The sequence below is a fragment of the Homo sapiens genome, chromosome 13 (assembly GCF_000001405.40).
Source record: "Homo sapiens chromosome 13, GRCh38.p14 Primary Assembly".
Lineage (NCBI taxonomy): Eukaryota > Metazoa > Chordata > Mammalia > Primates > Hominidae > Homo > Homo sapiens.
The window spans coordinates 26,014,995-26,037,123 of record NC_000013.11 but is presented as its reverse complement, the minus strand read 5'-3'; the positions used below and the strand labels follow the sequence as shown (position 1 = coordinate 26,037,123).

The 22,129-nt window shown below is 45.6% G+C and overlaps 1 protein-coding gene across 8 annotated transcripts in view; it reads right to left on the bottom strand.

The window, feature by feature from the left end:
* ATP8A2 (ATPase phospholipid transporting 8A2) overlaps positions 11,273 to 22,129 on the bottom strand; it is a 653,878-nt gene continuing 643,021 nt past the window's right edge. For all 8 annotated transcript variants that reach the window (NM_016529.6, NM_001411005.1, XM_047430383.1 and 5 more), the window contains one exon: positions 11,273 to 17,236. In NM_016529.6, the coding sequence (NP_057613.4) occupies positions 17,139 to 17,236 (98 nt within the window). In that variant the 3' untranslated portion in view covers positions 11,273 to 17,138. The remainder of the gene's footprint in view (positions 17,237 to 22,129) is intronic.

Below are 22,129 nucleotides of genomic sequence, written 5' to 3'. Positions count from 1 at the left end.
GCATCTTTTTCAGGGCCTGTTTGTAGATGGACATTGTTTTTTGTTTTCTGAGACAGGATCTCAACTTTGTTGCCTGGGCTTGAATGCAGTGGAATGAGCATGGCTCACTGCAGCTTTGAACTCCTGGGCTCAAGCGATCCTCCCACCTAAACCTCCTGAGTAGCTGGGACTGCAGGCTACTCAGTGGACTGCCACCACACCTAGCTAATTAATTTTTTTTTTTTTTTTTTTAGAGACGGAGCTTCCCTGTACTGCTCAGGCTGGTCTCAAATTCCTGGACTCAAGTAATCCTTTGGCCTCAGCCTCCCAAAGTGCTGGGATTACAGGTGTGAGCCACTGTGCCTAGCCTAGAAGTCACTCTGTTGAGCTGAAGCACAGGTGCTGGAGGACATGAGAGTTAGATTTAGGTCCCTATTTCACCTCTGACAAGTGTGTGACAACCAGGAGACCTCTCTGAGCTTTGGCTGGTTGAAATGGAATTCACAGTCACAGGGAAGTGACTACTCACAGGGAAGTTGTATGGATTAAGTGAGACAATACAACAGTGCCTACCACCACAGCTTTCTCCTAATATGGTATTGCTTTTGTAGGCAAGAGTCTGGTTTTAGGTAAGTGGTGAGGTTTCCTTGGTTAAATTTTAAACCATCTTTAAAACCTCACCTAGCCACATTCTAATTCGATCCTTTTTTTTTTTTTTTTTAGATGGAGCGTCGCTTTTGTTGCCTAGGCTGGCGTTCAATGGCATGATCTTGGCTAACTGCAACCTCTGCCTCCTGGTCCAAATGATTCTCCTGCCTCAGCCTCCCAAGTAGCTGGGATTACAAGCATGCACCACCACATCTGGCTAATTTTGTATTTTTACTAGAGACAGAATTTTGCCATGTTGGCCAGGCTGGTCTCGAACTCCTCACCTCAAGCGATCCACCCACCTCGGCCTCCCAAAGTGCTGGGATTACAGGCGTGAGCCATCACACCCGGCCTGGGTCCTTTTATAGTTCCTCTGTTTTCATGTTATCCCACAATCCTTAGAAATCAGGCGACAGGAACAAAAAGCAGTAGCAATGGGTAGAAGATTGTCCTGCTGTCCGCTCCTCTCACATACACTTCGTATAGTTAGTTCCTCTTTATTCCTCATTTCCGTAGCACTTGCTGTATTCTGATTTCATTCTGCCTGGCACCGCATCTAAATGTGTACATGTCCCCTTAGATGGTGAGTTCCTGAAGGTAGAAACCAAGATTTCTTCATCTATAGAGGGCTCCTCAGCACCTAGTACAATGCCTGCACACAGTAAAATAGTCCTTGCTAGTACAATGCCTGCACACAGTAAAATAGTCCTTGCTAGTACAATGCCTGCACACAGTAAGAGAGTCCTTGACTTACGATGGCTTGACTTATTTTTCAACTTTGCAGTGGTGTCAAAGCGATACATACTTAGTGGAAACTGCACTTCAAGAACCCATACGACCATTCTGTTTTTCATTTTCATATAGTAATCAATAAATTACATGAGATTTTGACACTTTATTATAAAATAGGTTCTGTGCTAAATGGTTTTTCCAAATTTCAGGCTAATGTAAATGCTCTGAGCACATTTAAGGTGTTCCATAGTTTAGGAGTATTAAATGCATTTTCAATTTCTAACATTTTCAACTTGCTGTGGGTTTATCAGGATGTAGCCACATTGTAACTTGAAAAGCATCCGCACATTTTAAATTAGTATTTGTAGAGGTAAAAAAAATGTGTACATAAAGATTTTAAGTATTTCAAAAGGAAGTTAAGAGATAGCCTTAGGCTGAGACAATACCATATTTATTTAAACTAAGCATTATATGGACTATATAACTAGGTGTTATATGGACTAGCTACGGGCTTTTCTTTGATTACAAAAATTTTTAAGTAGCCAGTGAGTTCACAATGCCTGAGATAGAATAGGAATATTAGTCCCTTTTCCTTTGTTCCAGGACCTTTTGTTTGTGCAGATGATACTTGCTGCTTCTTTCTAGATTTTAGTTGCTGTTTAGCAACAAACATTTGGTCTAACAGAACCAAGTGAGGATGGCAAAGGTTTAAAATCACCAGAGCTATCCTAAAACAATTTCTTTCACTAGTAAATTGTAAAGCTAAGCATGACCCAGAGTGGATTTTTTCTAGCTTTTATTCTTAATGAATTTTCATTTTTTGACCAGGGTAATATTTCTATATTAGTTTTAGTTTTAAGAAACTTTGTATCTAATGAAAGGCGCATTGGAACAGAAAGACTTCTTTTTGTCTAAGGATCAGTATTCATCCAACAACCATTTATTGAAATATAAAAGAGGTTGGGTGCAGTGGCTCACGCCTGTAATCCCAACACTTTGGGGGGGCCAAGGTGGATGGATCACCTGAGGTCAGGAGTTCGAGACCAGCCTGACCAATGTGGTGAAACCCCGTCTCTACTGAAAATACAAAAATTAGCTGGGCCTGGTGGTGTGCACCTGTAATCCCAGCTGCAGGTGCTGAGCTGAGCTGCAAGTGGGAGGCTGAGACAGGAGAATTGCTTGAACCTGGGAGGCAGAGGTTGCAGTGAGCCGAGATCACTCCACCACACTCCAGCCTGGGCAAAAAGAGCGAAATTCTATCTCAAAAAAAAAAAAAAAAGAAAAAGAAAAAGAAAAAAGAAAGAAACATTAAAGAGCCTGATTTGATTCAGTGACATTTTCGCAATGTGGTTGTTAAGAAGAACTGTGCTTGACAGATGGCCTTTGAGCCCATATGCATCTCTATGATTAACAGAAAATGAATTGGCTATGTTGGTATGACCACAGTTCACCTTGCAGTACATGGCATATAGTGTTCAATGCCGGCCTGTGGCCTTGATTTGCCAGAGAGAGGAATTCAGAGTGAGAGGCTCTAGTTGGACATCACCCACAGGCTGCTCAGTTCCTGAAGTACGCACATATTTCTGTTTGGCGGGCCTGCTGCAGGCACTGCCAGATCAGTAGCACAGAATGTCTTTCATGAATTTAATGGGAATGCAGGTCAGGTCTATGTTTTATTACATCTTACATCTTATTGATTGGGAAACAGCTGTAAAAGCTTGTCTTAATATTTACTGTAGCCATCATTGATAATGCATCAGTGGAACATTTTATGGTTTAACTTTACAAGATCTTTTCACATGAATGAACTCATCCTAGAGGCAATCTTCTCCTTTACCCTATTAGTCTCTCTGAATCCCCAGAGTTATCCTGTCTCCATACTGTCTTGGTACCTTGAATGCACTTCACTTATCACATCTTGGTACAACAGAAATGACCACAGATTCTTTCAAACTCCTTCCATGGAGAAGTGGGAGTGCAAGCCCCTCCCCTTGAACCTGGGTGCGTACTGTGGCTCTGTACAAAAAGAATTTCACGAAGGGATGCTAAGCCTGTCTCCTGGTCCAGGCCTTGGAGCCTGGCAGCTTCTATTTCCTGGCTCCTGGGACATTCAGTCTTGGAGCCCTGAGCTGCTGCATAAGAAGTCTGACTATTCTGAGGCTATCATAGTGGAGAAACCACATGGGGAGGCCACAGGGAGAGGCCCTAAGATGTCAGAAAGAGATGGAGATGCCCAGACAGCCTACTTTGGTCTGTTCCAGCTACTATAACAGAGTTCTACAGACTGGGGACCTTAAATAGCAAGCATTTCTTTCTCACAGTTTTAAAGGCTGGAAGTCTGAGATCAGAGTGCCAGCGTGGTTGGGGTTTGTGAGAACCCTCTTCCTGGTTTGTAGATGGCTGGCTTGTAGATGGCTGGTTTGTAGATGGCTGGCTACTCTCTTCTTCTCAGGGCACTAATCCCATCACAAGGGCGTCACCCTAATCACCTCCCAAAGGCCCCACCTCCTAATATCATCTTGAGGGTTAGGGTTTTAACATATGAATCCGGGTGGAGGGACAGAACATTCAGCTCACAGCACAGCCCCAGCCATTTCAATCATCCCAATTGAGCTCCCAAACCTCATGGATCAGAGATAGGTCATTCCTGCTGGGCACTCTCCAAATTGCAGATTAGAAAAAAAAAAGTTTGATTTTGTAAAAATTGTGGTAACGTGTGCATAACAAAATTTTAACCATTTTGAAGCGGACAGACAGTTCAGTCCACTGAAGAACCTTCACAGCGCTGGGCAGCCACCGCCACCACCACCTCCAGCACTCTTTCAGCTTCCCAAACTGAAACTGTACCGGTTACACACGAACTTCCAATTCTCCCTCCCCCAAGCCCCATTCTACTTTCTATCTCTATGAATTTGACTACTCTAGGCATCTCGTATAGGTGGAAACGTATAATATTTCTCTTTTTGTGTCTTGTTTATTTCACGTAGCATAATGTCTTCAAGGTTCATCCAAGGTTTATTCATACACTTGTTGTGGCAAGTGTGAGAATTTCATTCCTTTGAGAGGCTAATATTCCATTGTCTCTATAGACCACACTTTGTTTTCCCATTCATGTATCGATGTGCATTTGGGTTGTTTTCATCTGGCCATTGTGAAGACTGCTGCTGTGTGTGGGTGTACTAATATCTCTTTAAGATCCTGGTTTTAATTCTTTTGGGTATATACCCAGAAGTGTGACTGCTGGATCACGTGATAATTTTATGTTTAATTTTGTTGGTTGGTTTTTTTTTTTTTTTTTTGAGATGGGGGTCTCACCCTGTTGCCCAGCCTGGTCTTGAACTCCCAGACTAGAGCGACCTTCCTGCCTCAGCCTCCTGAGTAGCTAGGACTACAGGTGCCTGCCATTATACCCAGCTATTCAATTTTTAAAAGAACCTGTTGTTATTTTAAGCCACTAAGTGCTGAGGTGGTTTGTTGCCTAACAATAGATAACTTTTTGGCTGTACCCTGTATATTTACATGTCTGTCTCCCCTCCTGGGCTGAGGTCTTTGGGTGCCTTATTTCTCTGTATCATTAGCATAGAGCAGAGTGCCTGGAATAGTTATGAAATGGCATAGTCATGAGAGGAGTGAATGGAGAGTCTCACTGAGAGTTGGAGCCAGCTGGACTTCCTGGGTCAAGTGAGGACTTGGAGAACTTTTCTGTCTTACAAGAGGATTGTAAAAATGCACCAATCAACGCTCTGTAGCTAGCAAGAGGATTATAAAATGCACCAATCAGCAGGATCCTAAAAGTAGCCAATTGCAAGGAAAATTGAAAAAAGGGCACTCTGATAGGGAAGAAATGGAACATGAAAGGGGCCAATAAGGGAATAAAAGCAGGCTGCCCCAGCCAGCAGCAGCAACCCGCTCAGGTCCCCTTCTACGCTGTGGAAGCTTTGTTCTTTTGCACTTCACAATAAACCTTGCTACTGCTCACTCTTTGGGTCCGTGCCATCTTTAAGGGCTGTAACACTCACCGCGAAGGTCCGCAGCTTCATTCTTGAAGTCAGCGAGATCACAAACCCGCTGGAACAAACAAACTCCGGACAAGTCACAATCAGGGATGTTATTATAAAAACACTTTTCAGGCTGGGTGCAGTGGCTCAAGCCTGTAATCCCAGCACTTTGGGAGGCCAAGGTGGGTGGATCACCCGAGCTCAGGAGTTCGAGACCAGCCTGGCCAACATGGCGAAACCCCATTTCTAATAAAAAATAGTCACGTGTGGTGGTTGGCGCCTGTAATCCCAGCTACTTGGGAGGATGAGGCAGGAGAATCACTTGAACCTGGGAGGTGGAGGTTGTAGTGAGCCGAGATTGCATCATTGCACTCCGGCCAGGGCAACAAGAGCAAAACTCTGTCTCAAAAAAAAGCACTTTTCAATCTGGAGGACAGTAGGCACTGACCAGTCATAATGGACAAGGACCATCATGCTAAAACTGGCCTAATTTCTCCACAGAACGAAGTTTATGTTTCTTTTGAATAAACATAGAAATGGATCCCCTAAGTCTTAACATCTGAGAAACTTATATTTGTCGTATCTGAGTTCCTTTCTCAGGAAACTGACCATCAGTTCTCCCAGACAGGAGCAAGGAACTGAAATTTATCAGATCACTGCATCTGGACAATGAGATGTGAGACCGCTCACTGTCATGATTGCCTAAGACCACGTGTTGACCAGCTCCCCTTCCTTACCTCTCCCTAATTCCTGTTTTCCCACACGTAGTTATATTTCTTCCTTGCTAATTTCCTCCATTTCAGTTATAGAGGAAATGGATTTGAGACTCATCTCCCATTCTCCTCGCTGCAGCCCTCCCTGGCAGTACTTGTCTCAGCGACTAGCTTCCTGTGTGGACAGCAACAGGACCTAGAGTAAGAGTGTTATATGGTAAGGAGGCCCCCATGGCCAGCATTACCTCTTCATTGCTGGACTGTGGGAAGGTCCGGAGGTAGTGGTGGGTGCCCCAACTACTTAACTGACAAGAGAAATGGCTATTGATCAAACAGTAATAGTACCAGGCAGTGTAGATGCAGCAGGTCAGCCCTGTTTATATATCACGTGAGGAGGTAGGAAGGTAGCGTCCCAGTCCTGTAGGTGAGGAAAATGAAGTGCAGAGAAGTGAAATGATTTCTTTAAGGTCATGAGGCTAATAACTGGGCAAATAAATACTTGAACACAAGCATTCCAATTCCAAGTCCAATGTTCATCTTGCTACACAAACGACATCATGTGCTTGTGGAAACAGGTCCTTGTGGGAAAGTTTATAATCTTCTTGGAGATATAAGGCTGACACATGTAAGATGCATAATAGAAAAAACTACAAGACTGGGTGCCCAGATACTGCAGGAAAAGCTATCTGTCAGGAGAGAAGGGAGCACTGTTGTTTGAGACGGGTTCATGGAGGAGGTTGATGAGAACAAAGCCTCCAAGGGTAGGAAGGATTTAAGGCATGAGGGAGGAGAAGGAAGAGTCAGCAGCAGAGTTTAAGTGAGGAGGATAAGCTTGAGACATTAATAGACCCTGGGATCTGGCTGAGGCAGATGTTCTCTTTGGTGAGCAGAGAGATTGCCATTAGGTGGGAAAGAACAGAGGACATACTATACTGCTCTCCCTCTCAGGCACTTATGTGTGTGGCCAACAGGTACAAGTCAAGTCAGAGTTTTAAGAGGTTCTTTTGAAAAGAAAAAGATGATGGCATTTGTTAAGACTAAACTCTCCACTGGGAGCCACAGAATCTAGCCCTGTGCTTACATTACCACCTACACTGTAGGACATGATATCACATTACATTTTCCTTTACTGTCTGTCTCTCCCACTAGAATGTAAGCTCCATGAGGAAAGGGACTTTGGTTGGTTGGCCACTACCTCTCCAGTGTCTGGAAGTCAGCTTGTATTCACAAGAGCAGCACGTAAGAGCATGGCAGAGGCCCCAAAGCTGAAGCTCCCTCGGATGGTGAGATTCCAGATCGCTAGCAAGTCCGGCTTCCCATGTTCTAACTGCAAGGCCCCCTGCTCCCCTGCCTCTGCCCACCAGTTGAGGCCTCTCCTTGGGAACAGGAGCCTCAGCAATTTTAGAAGAAAGCCCCCTGGTTCTCAGACAAACATCCAGCTGGCTGTTCAGCTGGGACTGAAAAGGCCCAGAGCATTTTCCCTTTAGCACACACAGTTTCCAGAGAATGGGTTATCTCTTGTCTCCTAAAACAAGACTTGGGTTAAGCCCTTACATACCTGCCGTGGCACTTTTGGAGCTGCTTTGCCAAATTCTCAAAGTTAAAAGTGAATTTTTTTCTTTTGCATTTCTGTACAGTTGTTTACTTCATTTTTTCCCATAGAACTACTAGGTACGTATGCATGTGTGTACTCATGCACACAAATGCAAAAGCATCCTGTCTGTCTGAATAGTTTTCCCTCACTCACAAGGACAGGTGCTTCTGTGGAGCATCCCTTAGCTCTCTGCTGTGCATTACAGGGGGGTTTTTCATCATATAAATCGGGAAGTGAGATTGAATGAAGACATTTTCCAGCTAAAGTATTAAAAACATTGCTTGGAGGCAGTTTCTTGAATAAGGGCCTCCCAATCTCATTCTCTGCAACCACATGCAATTTATATGTAATACTGAAACAAATTCAAGGGCTTTTCCTGCAGCCATCTTTGTGAGTAATTTGCAGGCAGCTCCTCTTAAGGACACTGGGAAGGGAAAAAAAGTGAGCTTAACAGCTTTGTTTGTGGCTACTGGGCTGTTCTCTTTCAGCTCCTAACAGCTAGTCATACCCTCCATTCAAGGCCACTCGGGAAGCAACAACGACAAGCAACAACCATCTGGCCTCCCAGCTACAGGGCAAGATGTGTTAGGTTGGCGTAAGAGCCTCCCCCACCCCGCTTTTTTTTTTTTTGAGACGGAATCTTGCTCTGTCGCTTAGGCTGGAGTGCAGTGGCGCGATCTCAGCTCACTGCAACCTCCACCTCCTGGGTTCAAGCGATTCTTCTGCCTCAGCCTCCTGAGTAGCTGGGACTACAAGTATGTGCCACCACACCAGGCTAATTTTTGTATTTTTAGTAGAGACGGGGTTTCACCATATTGGCCAGGCTGGTCTCAAACTCCTGACCTTGTGATCTGCCTGCCTTGACCTCCCAAAGTGCTGGGATTACAGGTGTCAGCCACTGCGCCCTGCCAGGCATAAGAGCTTTTAATCATACACCACAGTTTTAAAAGTTGGGGGAAGGTCGGGTGCGGTGGCTCATCCCTATAATCCCAGCAGTTTGGGAGGCCGAGGCGGGCAGATCACGAGGTCAGAAGTTAGAGACCAGCCTGGCCAACATGGTGAAACCCCGTCTCTACTAAATATACAAAAATTAGCTGGGGGCAGTGGTGGTGCCTGTAGTCCCAGCTACTCAGGAGGCTGAGGCAGGAGAATCACTTGAACTCAAGAGGCAGAGGCTGCAGTAAGCAGAGATGGCGCCACTGCACTCCAGCCTGGGTGACAGAGTGAGACTCCATCTCAACAACAACAACAAAAATTGGGGGGAAAATCAGGAAGGGTTTCTCAGCAATTTAGAATATTTCAAATCAAAACCCATTTTTTTAGAGTAGAGGAGAGAGTACCTGTAGCATTAAATTTTGACAACTATCTAGTGACAGTGATATAGAAACTCCTGGGGCAGACAATTCAAATCCAAGGTTCAGGTCAACGCTGTTGCTTTAACGATTACCTGCGCACCCTTTCTTCAAATATCCATTGCTCTGGAATCTTAAGTCAACAACAGTTCATTGTAGAGAGAGACAAACAGCTGAAGATTGAAGATGGAGCTTTGAGACCAACCCTCAAGAATTTTAGAATTTTAAATCATCTTATTTACGTGCATGGCCTACTTTTAATAAATGAAAGCTTAATGCTTTTGAGCTGGACTGGATGTGCTTGGTGCTTGTAGCTTTAGTAGGTGGAAGGGTTTTATTTTTGTCCCCCTCTGGTAATCAAGTTCCAGAGCCTCATCTATAGCCCCAGTTAACATTATCTCCTTGGCATTCCAACCAGCACTGGAGAGTTCCCTCAAAAGACTCACGTGTGGGACAAAATGAGGTGGAAGATATCAGAGGCAGAGGAGCCCCACGTCACATGCCCTGTTGCTCTGCCATACATCCAGGGGTGTCTGATCTTCTGGCTTCCCTGGGCCACACTGGAAGAATTGTCGTGGGCTACACATCAAATACAGTAACACTGGCCAGGTGTGGTGGCTCGCGCCTGTAATCCCAGCACTTTGGGAGGCTGAGGTGGTTGGATTACTTGAGGCCAGGAGTTCAAGACCAGCCTGGCCAACATGGTGAAATCCTGTCTTTACTAAAATACAAAAAATTAGCCAGGTGTGGTGGCGGGCGCCTGTAATCCCAGCTACTCGGGAGGCTGAGGCAGGAGAATCACTTGAACCCGAGAGGCAGAGGTTGCAGTGAGCCAAGATCGTGCCACTGCACTCCAGCCTGGGCGACAAGAGTGAAACTCCGTGTAAAAAAAAAAATTCGTAATATTTTAACAAAGTTTATGAATTTGTGTTGGACTGCATTCAAAGCTGTCCTTGGCTGCAGGTTGGACAAGTTTGCTATACACTTTAACCCCTCACATTACATATGTCTCTTCCATAATAAACATTTTGAAAATAGTAGCAGAAGCTGAATGATTTTTCAGAGTATCCTGAGACTTTTCCGGAGGACATCATTACAAAGAACACTGCTTTAGGCAGAGAGGTTAGGGTCTGCACACTGTTTTCAGCTAATAAGAGCCTCTCAATGGTTCGAGTTTATTCTGCTGAGCATCAGTGAAGAATGACATTTCAAGAAAACCATTGCAGCGGCAAAGGCAGATTTTGTAAAGATATGAACAAGAAATGGCAAAGGTTGGAATTTAACACTTCGCTGTTGATTGTATTAAATCATTTTTATTTTCTCACCATTGGGGAAGAAAAGGCCTGGCCAATGTAGAGCAGGAGATGAAAGCCCTTCCCTGGTGAGCTCTAAACTGTAGAACTCTCTGCCTGCAAGTGAGGCCTCCCGTGTCCTTGCCATGCCTGAGACACAGTCACTGAGGTCAGGACTGCCTTGGGCTGGTCAAATCCAGGTCTGATAGGAACTGGACCATCTGGGAGGAATCAAAGTCCGCTATGGAAAATTGCAATAAATTCAGAGTGCAATTAAGAAGTCTTTTGGGATCCAGGCTCAAGCCTCACCAGAGAACTGTCATCTAACAGGCTGTCTTTCATCCCCAGGTCACACCCTGCTGGGGAAGTAGAGAGCTACCCAAACAAAGCCAGGCAAGGGGCCAACATCTGGGCCCGCCAGCTTCCTCCCACCTTACCCCGGGTGCGAGGAGTCTGCCTTGGCTGAGGCATCACAGAGAACCTGGAGGCAATGGATGCTTACCTGAATGCAACTCCTTGTACCTAGAGAGAAAGGGCAGGGGTGTCTTTCCTCTTTTTAAAGTAACAATGTCATGACTTCCTGCTTTCCAATTGAATTTGAGCTGCCTCCTCAGTTTGTAGCCAAATGAGATGAACTAGAGGGAGGGAAGTAATGGAGGAAGGAGGTCTTGTAAGCACCATTCTTTCCTTTGAGTGACTGAATCCAAACTCTGTGTGGCCCCCTGGACTCTCTTCTAGAAAATGGGGCCTTGCCTCAGAGCAAGGAACATGTGTTCATCTGGAACTCAGACTCTCCTGCGCTCCTGCCAGTGAACACTGTTGCCTGGGCCTCGGCTCTCCAGGCAGTGTATGTGTCCTTGAGCCTGCACATGCTGACAAACCCCTGTGTTACAGGCCGCAGTCCCTGTGGCAGTAAATGCTGATTAGTGGAAAAGAAAATTCCAAAATAAAACAGTCCAATCACTTACTTTAACAAAAGATTTATTTGAAACAGGTTTGCGCAGACATACACCAGTCAACAGGATTGATCAAAGCCACAAATCACTAAATTCTCCCAAAACTTCTAAAAATACAAGTAGATGCCCTCCGTTTGTATTCACTCCAGGAGGGAACCCAGTGCACTGTAATGTGCTGCTGTAATTTAACAACCAGAGGACATTAATAGGACGTGAAAACGGTAACACTTCTAGAGGGAGGCAACAAAAAACCCCACACACCATAGAAGCACCCCCCACGCTGCTGGGAGCCAATTAAACGTGCCCCCACAGCCCTGCTTCCCTCTGCATCACCAGATTAAAACCTCCCCATCACAAACAATATTTAAGCAATCCAGGCACAGATGTGACAGCAGACAGGAGAGCACGTGGCTTTGCTCGCATGAGAAAGACGCCACAAAGATGATGCATTTGAACGACAATTCAGTGACCGGCAGCCCCATCCTGCAGCTGGCCCTGCTGCAGCTGCCTGCGTGGCCCTTGAGAGGGAGGCTCAGAGGGAAGCGGCATTGCACAGGCCTGAACTTGGCCATCTCGGGCAACGGGGGAGAGTGGGGCGGGAGGGGAGAGTAGGAGTTTCAGTACTGACATTGATTTTATCCATGAAAACCCAAAAGTCTTTACTGTGCAGGGAAGGAGAGAAATTCCATGACAGGGCTGGTTTCCTTTTTTTCTTTTCTTCCTTTTTTTTTTTTTTTTTTTTTGTTGTTGTTGGTGTTTATTGATTCACCTATAAACCACATATCAGGCTATCTCTTAAGAATACAACAGACTCCAATCCCATTGGAAGTGAGTTCGCAGCCTGCTCTCTGGGCTCTCTCCCTCTTTCCGGCCTTTTCTCTTTCACACGGAAGAGCTTACCTATAAAAGGCTCTTGATAAGCTCTCTTGACCCCCAAGTTTCCTGGGCAGGGTTATTTGGATAGTGCTATTACTCCAACTTTCTTCTTCCTCTTTCTGTCATAAATCAAAGCCACCTGACACTTTGCGCCCGACTTTTAAAACAAACAGGTCTCCTTTCTTTCTTCAGCCAGGTCACAAGAACTGCCTATGGGCTAATCTTGAGAGCATGTTTTTCTTGGTCTGAGGCCTGGGAGAAAGAGCAGAGTGGATATCTCAAAGGCAACTAGAGCCCGAGATTGTCACTTGAAAATGCGCCAGCCTGGGTGTAAAAAGAATCCCTCTTTTGTCTCTCCTCAGTTGGGAGAGCCGAGGTGTTCCTCAGAGGTTAACACTGGATTATACACGGGGTGCGGCGCGGGGGAGCTCGCCCTTCTTTTCTGCTCCCATTTGTTTGTGGCTTCTGCCCATTCAGATTTATGCTGGCTCAATGCCCTTTTCTCCTCACTCAGGGTTACATCCCAGATTCACAAATCACTCATAGCCAACAAATTAAGAGAGCTTTAAACAGAACATTAGTTACAGACTGGGCATTAAATGAAGATCAGGTAAGGTGAAGGGGAATGTACTGATGGACAACTTGGGATGCTGAGAAAAAAAAATAAATGAAGGGTACAACACATCGAGCGTGCTGGTCTGTTAACACCTTTCAAGAATGCCTAATGATGTCATTATGGGGGTCTTGGGCCCTCACCTCCGAAACCCCTCAAAAACCCTTCTAATAGTCCTTCTTGGCCTTCAGGATGGAAAAATGGCTAGAATGAGGTTAAATCTCCCCGAAGGCTATACTGAGACAGTTAACTGCCTTGAGCCAATGAAGAACCAAAACCAAACCCAACTGATATAGATTTTCTTTTTTTGAAGGGAGGGGGTTTTAACTGTTCCCATTGTGATTATATATGCCCGTATAAACATTTACATGAAGAAAACATTTCTTGAGTGTAACAGGGGATGCCATGTTTTGACTCGACCTGATAAACTCATTTCTTTGCCAAGTTATTATTTCAGGCTCTGCTTAGCCACCATTTCCCTGTTCACATTTTTTTATGGATCCCAGGAGATGAAGACTACATTTCAAATGCTGATGTTAAATCACTCCTTGAATTACTTTGAGACGATGACCCTGGGCAGTAACTCAAACCCTGGCTGAAAAGTGTGCAGTCCTTTCACACGTTCAAAACTAAAGACCACCTTATCCTATAGCAGTGTTTTGCAAACATTCAATTCAGCTATGGTCTAAGACATAAATCCCTTGGAACAGAGGTACCTGATAAAAATGCTTTATGGTTCCAAATGACAAGATTAAAGGTCATTATTATAACAAATGGAAATTACAGACTATAACTTTCTTTTTAAAAAATTCAACCTTAAATCCTGTAATATTTACATACATATGCATTATAAGACATTAGTTACCTAGGCTCTTTCCACCCCCCCGCATTTTTCACTGCTTCTTGACAAGTTATTACTGATTTTCACAGCCAGCTCCCTATAGTGAGACGAACCTGAAGCCTTGTCAAGGGAAAGAAAATGTCAACAGAATTCTCAGCTGAGCTCTCCCAAAGCCCAGGTTCACTTCTCAGGATATTCCTCTACAAGTGTTAAAAGAAACAGCACTCCTCGCCCCAAAGCACGTTTTGTATGGTGTGCCGAACCAAAAGAGTTACCATGTTTTTGTTTTCATGTGTGCATGTGTGTGTTGGGAGATGGGTGAACATAACCCTGGTCAAGAAGCCTGGAATATTCTGCACTGAGGCAGGACAGACACATCAGCTCCACTCCTAAATTATGACCGAGCCCGTTCTGATCAGCACAGAGTATTCATCCAGACTACTCTGCTCTCCTGATACGTGTTTTCCACAGCTACCCTTGCTGGCACGTGTCAGTGTGCAGTGGAAACCCAGAACTAAGCCCACAGTACAACTGGTCTCTTCCTTTTGCAGGGTCATCCAGGAGAAGAGAGACTCAACACAGGACTGGGCTGTCTGTACACAGCAGTAGACCAAGGGTTGGCCTGAGTGGATTCTGCCAGTTTAGCTCAATCCAGAGTCAGGCCCTGGAGCGCTAACCGAGCGTGACCTGCCAGCCCGTGAGTCAGTGAGTGTCTGGCGGAGTGACAAGCCCCATGTGGCATTTTTGCTGAGCTGACAGCCAGCGTATGCAACCTAGTCCAGTCCACCCTGCCCCAGGGGAGGGGTTGTGTGTGACACTCTGACCTCAATTTAAAGATAGGACAAATGACACAGCCCCTGAGTTGGCCCTGGCTAAATATTATACATCACACGTAGTGACAGCTGCTCCTCCTAGAAACCAATTTACAGCCAATTTAGTCATTTGGCTGTAAGAATGCTCAACCACATGAGAGGATAGAAAGGCATCTCTTCTAATGTTTTCTTCTGTGTGCGTCTGTCATCACTGCAAATATTGTTTAGTCTACTTCTCAAGAGAATAGGAAAATACACCTGTATCCTTAAATCCCAGAAAATATGAACTCTAATGTAAGAAACAAAAACCCCAAACAAACACAAACACACACTTAAATACATAATTCTGATTTGGAAGGCTTCAAGTTCAAGACAGAGCTAACTGTTTGACAAAGAATTCAATTTCTAATCCACTCTTTCCAAATAGGCTTAGTTCCCAAATGAGACAAAATATGAATAGTTAAGATGCCTAATGCACATTCAATTCCAGTTTTCGTTTCTCCTCTGTATCTTGGCCATCACCTTTCTGGGTGTGCAAAGAAACCATACACCTTGGTTTGTCGTGTTAGTCATAGGCACATTTTGTGTTAGAGTTCCTGCATGACAGTCCTTCCGTCTTGCTGGGTACTCTGATATTTAAAAATGTTCTATGCACCTTGGGGAGAAAGAAATGGCCCTTTTTGGAGCCTCACCTGTGAATTGCATTGTTCTGCTGCCCCTCAGGCCCTCTCTGCATCCTGGTCACCTCATAAGTGAGGATGAGTTTTCTTAGTCAATGCAGATCATATTTTAAATCATTTCCATGCCCAGTAGGTTGTAGATTTCTGACAAAAAAGGGTTAGGAAGCAAAGTGCACTAAAGTGTTATTTCCTAATTTAGCACAATCATTCCTACAGGGTTGACTCATCCTCCGACTCTAGAGCTAAGAGTGACAGGTGTGCTCCTTCGCTGCACAGTCATGTGATAAATTCATTCATTTCCCCACAGTGAAAATCCAAAACATGCTCTCCACTCCCATTTTTCACCAGTAACAGTTGCCCACAAGTATTTAGGCCATCCAAAAATCTGGTTTGGCAACCAGAGCAGAGAACAGGGCTCCAGGCAGGTTGTTTAGTAAGGGCTCCAGGTGCTCACATTCATGCCTGAAGACATCTAGGTTCTGTTGAGATTTAAGTGTGGGACTCTGCAGTTGGGAAAGTCAGTGATTCCGCTCTTCACTTCCTTGTCTTAGATAATTCAGGATATGCCGTATTCTGATAGGTACCTGTGTCTAACACTGATGGGATACAGAAAGGAAACCATGTCAGTATATTTTTTAAAAAGGTGTTTCCCTGAAATGTTTGGAATTCTTTTCAATTAGAACTGTGTGTGAAGGTCTTGTTTAAGCTCTCATACACACTGGGCTGATCATGACAATTGTCTGGGTCTCAAGGCCTATTTCAGAGTTTCTACTGCAAAGATCTGGTGGCGATTCCTCTGTGTCCTCCTCTCAGTGTCTCCGTGTCCTTCCTTCTCCTTCTGAGGACTTCTGTGGTCGTCTTGTTCTCCCCACTCAATGTCCTATACTCTTGCATCTGGGTTTACTCATCCTCTGACTCTAGAGCTAAGAGCGACAGGTGTGTTCCTTCGCTGTGCAGGCATGTTATAAATTCATTCATTTCCCAACAGTGAAAGTCCAAAATGTGCTCTGAAACAAACGTGGGTTCTAATGTAAGTGGATGCCAAAGGCCCAGCAGTCTGGATGTTGGGAAGGGAGTATTCAGAGCCTGACCACGGCTGGGAGTCCTGAAGGGGTTCTACCACCACTCTGACCTGTGGGGTGGCCCCATGTCAGACAGAGGCAGAGAGACGTTTAGAATATATGCAGAAAGGCTATGTTTCTTTTCTTTCTTTACAGAACGAGAAGGGCGGTGGAAGAAGGAATTTTTCGCATCTGTATCTGAGTCTGCAGTGGAACAAGGAAAGGCGCGGGTTTGGGTTGGCTGCCCATCGGCCGCCATGCACTGAGTGGTGTGGCCAGCCATGCAGCAGGTGTGGGGGTGAGGGGCGCCTGGACACGGCGGCAGGACTGGGCCGAGTGCACCTGGAGAGGGTGCGGAAGACTCTTCCAGGGCATCAGTTGGTTTGCCCTGCTGGAAATGTGGCTAAGAGGTTCAAATAAATGTTCTCAGGTTGACCACCCCGATAGAGAATTTTGTGATTTCACTGCAATCAAGAAGTTTATGCCAATTTTACACACAAAACAGGAATCAAAGCAGGAGAGCAACCTGCCTACAGTGAAGTCTGCATGTGGCCCGTTGGACTTAACCTCTGAGTTAACTCAACAGGAAGCAAGTGTGCCCTGCTCCAATTACACAGGATGGGCCTCTCACGCAACATAAAACTCCTTTCCCTTTCTCCCAGGACAACTAGTACTGATGTTTAAATATTGGTGAAACATAATGTTTTTAATTTCACACCTCACAGAGCACAGTTGAATGCTTCATAACGACATAAACAAAAGTTAGGCTAAGCACTGCAGACGAGTTGGGAGGGCAAAGATAGCTTCCCCTGTGGTCTGCACTCCAGGTTTGCGAGGGAATATGTAACTAACAAACTGCTTGGCTAAGGCCACAGAAATGTGTTTCCTGGTGTTTTGGCTGCTGACGCCAGTCTTCTCTGACAAAGATGTGTTAACACTGGGTGCAACAAACTGAATCTCTTTCCTAAGATCAGTCAGGAAAATTCATGTCTTATTTCTTCCTGGATTTCTTTTTGGTGGTGTCATAAGCACGGATGACTTCTTCCTGACTAACAGCTCCGTGTTCTTCTTGAGAAAAAGCATACCCATCTGAAAGTGAAGCACACAGGAGAAACTGGTTAACAGGAGAATTGGGGGAGCACACTAGGTTTAAAATAAGCTGCTTTTTTTTGGCAGCGTGCGGGTGAGTGCGACATCTGGCCTCCTTAGCCTTGGATAGGTGGAGGCTTGAGATGAAGAAACCTGTGGCCATAGAGGGGCCGTGGCGGCCGTGTGCAGGCTAACTGGGGTCCCATGGTTCTAGCTGCTGATGCTGGGAAGGGAAAGCCTCTGAGGGTAGGTTTCCTATTTCTAGGGGGCTGCGGCTGAGCTCAGTGTGGGAATCACACACAGTGGGTCACTGGTCCCCGACTCCACTTTCCCACTGCCAATTAAGAAAAAACACTCCTGTCTGCCTGATGCTGTAGGGCAGCCAGCTAATTTATGAAGCTGTAAACATGCCAGGGAAACACACACACAACACTAATAGTGCAAGCTGGCAAAATGCACGTGATACCTGGAGCCTTCCTGTTTATTTATTTGAGACAGAGTCTTGCTCTGCCGCCTAGGCTGGAGTGCAGTGGCGCGATCCCAGCTCACTGCAACTTCTGCCTCCAGGGTTCAAGCAATTCTCCTGCTTCAGCCTCTTGAGTAGCTAGGGCTACAGGCATGCACCACCACGCCCAGCTATTTTTTTTTGTATTTTTAGTAGAGACGGGGTTTCACCATGTTGGCCAGGCTGGTCTCAAACTCCTGACCTCAAGCAATCTGTCCACCTTGGCCTCCCAAAGTGCTGGGATTACAGGCCTGAGCCACCACACCCAGCCCTGTTTTTAAATCAGACTGATCTGGACTGGTAATAAGTAATCAAAGTAGGGTTGTTTCCATGTAAAGAAAAAGGTTACACAATAAACTCAAAAGGAATTTAGTGATTGATTGGACCTGTGGCCATACAAAGACTATTCTTACACAATCAGTTCATATACTATTAATAAAATAAATAATAGCCAAGACTCATTAAATGCCATGTGTCTAAGACACTGTGCTATAAAATAAAGCTCATTTAATCCTCCCAGAAACCCTATGAGATAGGGGATTATACTCCTCCCACTTCACAGATGAGAAAACTGAGGCACAGAGATTTTTGTGACCTGCCCAAGGTCACAGACCTCGTGAGTGGCAGAGCTGGGAAGCAAACCCAGGGTCCACACTCTAGAGCTGAGAACCAGCTTTAGTGTTCACAAGCCCAGAGTGGGGCTTTTCTTCCAACTGGCCCTTCCCACAGAAAGACATTTATAAGGCCTGCTCTCCATTGGCTAACCCTTCTGTGTCAGGGGTCTGGAAAAGTCCCACAGCTCAATTAGACATTCTGGCCAAAAGACAACACAATAAAAAAACCTGACAATCTTGAATTCCATCCATGCATGCGTACAACTTATCAGGGGAGCTGTGAGTTCACTGTCATACTCTTTAAAAGGAGAAAAGAAGTCGAAAAGGGTGCCCATGAATCAGTTCCTGGACTGCCTGTTAATTTCCTGAGGCATCTGGCTTAAAAAGGAAATTTCTAGAGTATCAAGACATACAGTAACAAGACAGAAGAGTCCTCGTGGGATGGAGAAGAGGAGGAGACTTTAAAAGAAGACACTCAGGCTGTTTTCTTACTCTGTGTGTTCCCATAACTGAGAGTCCCGGTCCTGGGCTGGCTTCCTGGCTCTTCCAGAGAGCATGCCTTCTGGCCACTGCCTGAGAATCCCAAAGGCTCAGGGGGGTTATCGGGGGAGGCAAGGGCTTGTCTGCAGAGGTGGCCTGAGAGTTGACTGAGGACATGGGCTGAGCAGCAGGGAGGAGGGCCCAGACCAGTGAGGCCACAGGAGGAAGAGACAGTGGGCGGGAGAGAAGGTGATACAAGCTGAGCCAGGGTGAACAGAACAGAAGAGAACAGAACAGAGAGGAATCTTCCACAGGGGGCTTTTGTCTACTTGCTCACCTCCATTTCTAGCAAAACAAAACCTACAAACCAAAAATTCCCACCACATGGTAGCCACAGTGAAGCAGCTCCCAGACCATTGTGAGCCCTCAGACAGCTGGGTACAGGAGCAGGTGGGTGTCTGAGCCTGAAGGCAGCATCAGCCTGGAGGGGAGCTCCCTTGGGGGCGGATATGCTTGTGCCAGCCTTGGGCCCACACCTAGTGCACTTGAACTTCCTGACCAGGTAGGTGGCTGTGCTTTGATTCTCAGGGCTTTAGAGTTTTCACATGATCTGCTTTCAAGCACCGAAGAGCAAATGCCACCACTCCTGTTCTCCTAAGAGCTTTTGGATTTTCACCAAGTTGCTTAATCAGAGATTAGCAGCAGGGACAAGGAAACCTCCGTTGCCCAGCTTTGGAGGAGCTGCCCCAGCCTCCTGCCTCCCTCTGGCACCGTGTGGCACACACACTCTCATCCCCAATCCTGTACAAGCTGCCCTTTATGAAGCATTTTTACTGCAGTCCAAGAGGAGACGTCTTTCCTTGGGATGTTTCAAAGCAAAATCTAGCAAATAACACTGCTTCGTCTGCTCCAGTAACAAGGCTATGTACTGTGGTCAACTTGGACAATTTCCATTCTCCAGTTCTTTAACAAGGAACGTTTCTAGTCCACATCTGAAGTCATCCTGAGGGGGCCTGGCAGAACAGCAGCTGCAATGGCAGGGTCGTCACTGGCTCCACAGCTGCTGCACCACTCCCGGGGCTGCTCCTCAGTCCTACAGAAGTGGTTCTGAGTAAAGAACAGTCACCCCAAAGAATGGGACATACTCTTTTATAAACTCTTCCGGTGGGAAGCTGAGGACTACTGAGCTCTCCACCCTGAAGATGTCTTTCTCCACTCGCTTGTTTTCATCTTAGATTCTGGTGGCCCCAAGTGGCTGCAGCATGGGGTCAGGGTGGTGGCCAGGAAACAAAGGGTGGTTCTAGTCCTTGCTTGCTGCTACTTGTCCATGTGACTTTGGGATCTTTAAGCTCCCTGGGTCTTGATGTACTTTTCTGTAAATTAAATGGCCTGGACCAGGCAAGGCCCAAGTTCTCTCAACCTCCAGTCCTCTCTATGGGCTCCAGGACATGTTCATGGCCCGTCACACCCAGGCTGCAGGATTCTCTCCCTCTGTCAGTGCTAGTTCACACTGCACCAACACGGAGGCCTCTGCATCCACGTCAGAAAAGAAAGGGTCGGTGTCAACAGTCCATCCAAAAAGAATAATTAACTACCTATTATACCTCTTTTGGCCTGCTTTTTTCTCCTGGTTGGGGGGAACTCATGGAGACATAAAAATAAATTAGGGAGTGTCCTTTCGGGAAAGGTATCTTAGCCTTTGGAATAGTCTACTCCCTGTTCAAATGGAAGGTGCAAAAGCCTTTTCTTTTATTTATCTTGTTTTCCATAACATGCCTGTGTCTACTGGAAACCCAACTCCGGGGGTTTCTTCAGCTCATAACTCTGTCACTTCTTCTGTGTGCATTAGTGCCATGGCCACAAGGGCCTCCCATGGGATTGCAGCGGGATGATTTGGCCCCTCTGGGATGGGAAGGGTTTCGAGGTTTCCCTTTGAAGAGACAGGCAGAGAAGAGTTGCCCCTCCTGTTGTAAACCTCCCAGGGTAAGTAGAGCAACGTGAGGTCTGTGCTAAATGTCTCCCACCATCCTCCCTAGTTCCCATTGGCTGCACCTACCACCACATTTCCAGCGTGTTGTACGCTAAGACTTTCTTAACCTTAACCGAGAATGAAAGTGGACTCTACAATTCAAGAGTGAAAGGAGAATGGCCTGATAGGTTTATCTTGGGAGAGGGAGTCCTCCCATGTTCAGATAAAATTTCAGATTAAACATTTTCCTCTTAGAAACCAGGCCTGGCGGGAGTTAGAGCTGTCATGGGAGGAGTTTTACTGGAAAACCAGACACCATCACCCCTCAACCAGTCCTGCCTGCCCAGCCTCTGTCCCACCGGATGAAGATACAGACCTGCTCCCCAGCTCTGCCTAATGAACCTTTAACTGTCATTTGCATCCAAACGGGGAGCTCGGAGGAAGCCTCCAGCTCTTTGCACTCCCTACTTTCACTCATGTTTCAGGAAGTCCTAACAGCCAGAAAAGTCCTGATGGGGGCCTGGAGGGAGCTCTCATGGACCCAACTAACTGAACTTTCCCTGGCTGGCTTCCTAAAGCATCTGCTTTCTTAAACAGCCACAGCCAGAATGGAGAACAGAATCGTGTAGGTGAAAGGAGGTGGGAGGAAAGACGGATTTCTTAGTTGTTTTGTCTTCTCCGGGTAGAACATTTGGTGAAATCCATAAAATTATGTCTTTTTTTTTCATTATTTTGGAATAAAACTCCCCTTAAGTAGCATTCCTTTGAATCTGTGCTCTGATAGCATCTTAATGAAAATAGCAGTTTCCTGTCTGGAAAGATTCCTAATAGCCATAGAAATGAGAAGACCATGGGGACAAAGAGGAAATCAGACTGTGTAGGAAATGCTGATTACAAATATTGTATGTTGGTGGCTCACAGGAACTAAAATACTACCAAGATTAGAGTTTTTCCTGCTAGTTTCCTGGACAGACCCAGGCGGAACATCAAAGGCTGAGACCTGCTATATGCCCATCCTGCACCCCAGGACCAGCTCTGACCACCCGACGATCTTCTCTGGCTGTTAGTGACAGAAACGTCCTAAGTTATCCATCAGGTTCTGGTACTAGTCACTGAATGTTTAAAAAATGTGGTGTGATTTCAGAAGCCTTCTTATTTCTTATATTTATTCAGTAGATTTTTTTTTGGCCTTCAAAATATTGACTTAAGAAAAGCATTTAGTAGTTGTCTTTAAGACATTTATGACTCTCCCATAAAAATTCTCATTCGGTCTTTGATCACAACATATATATCGTGTATATTCTGTCTATGGTTATTTTGAAACA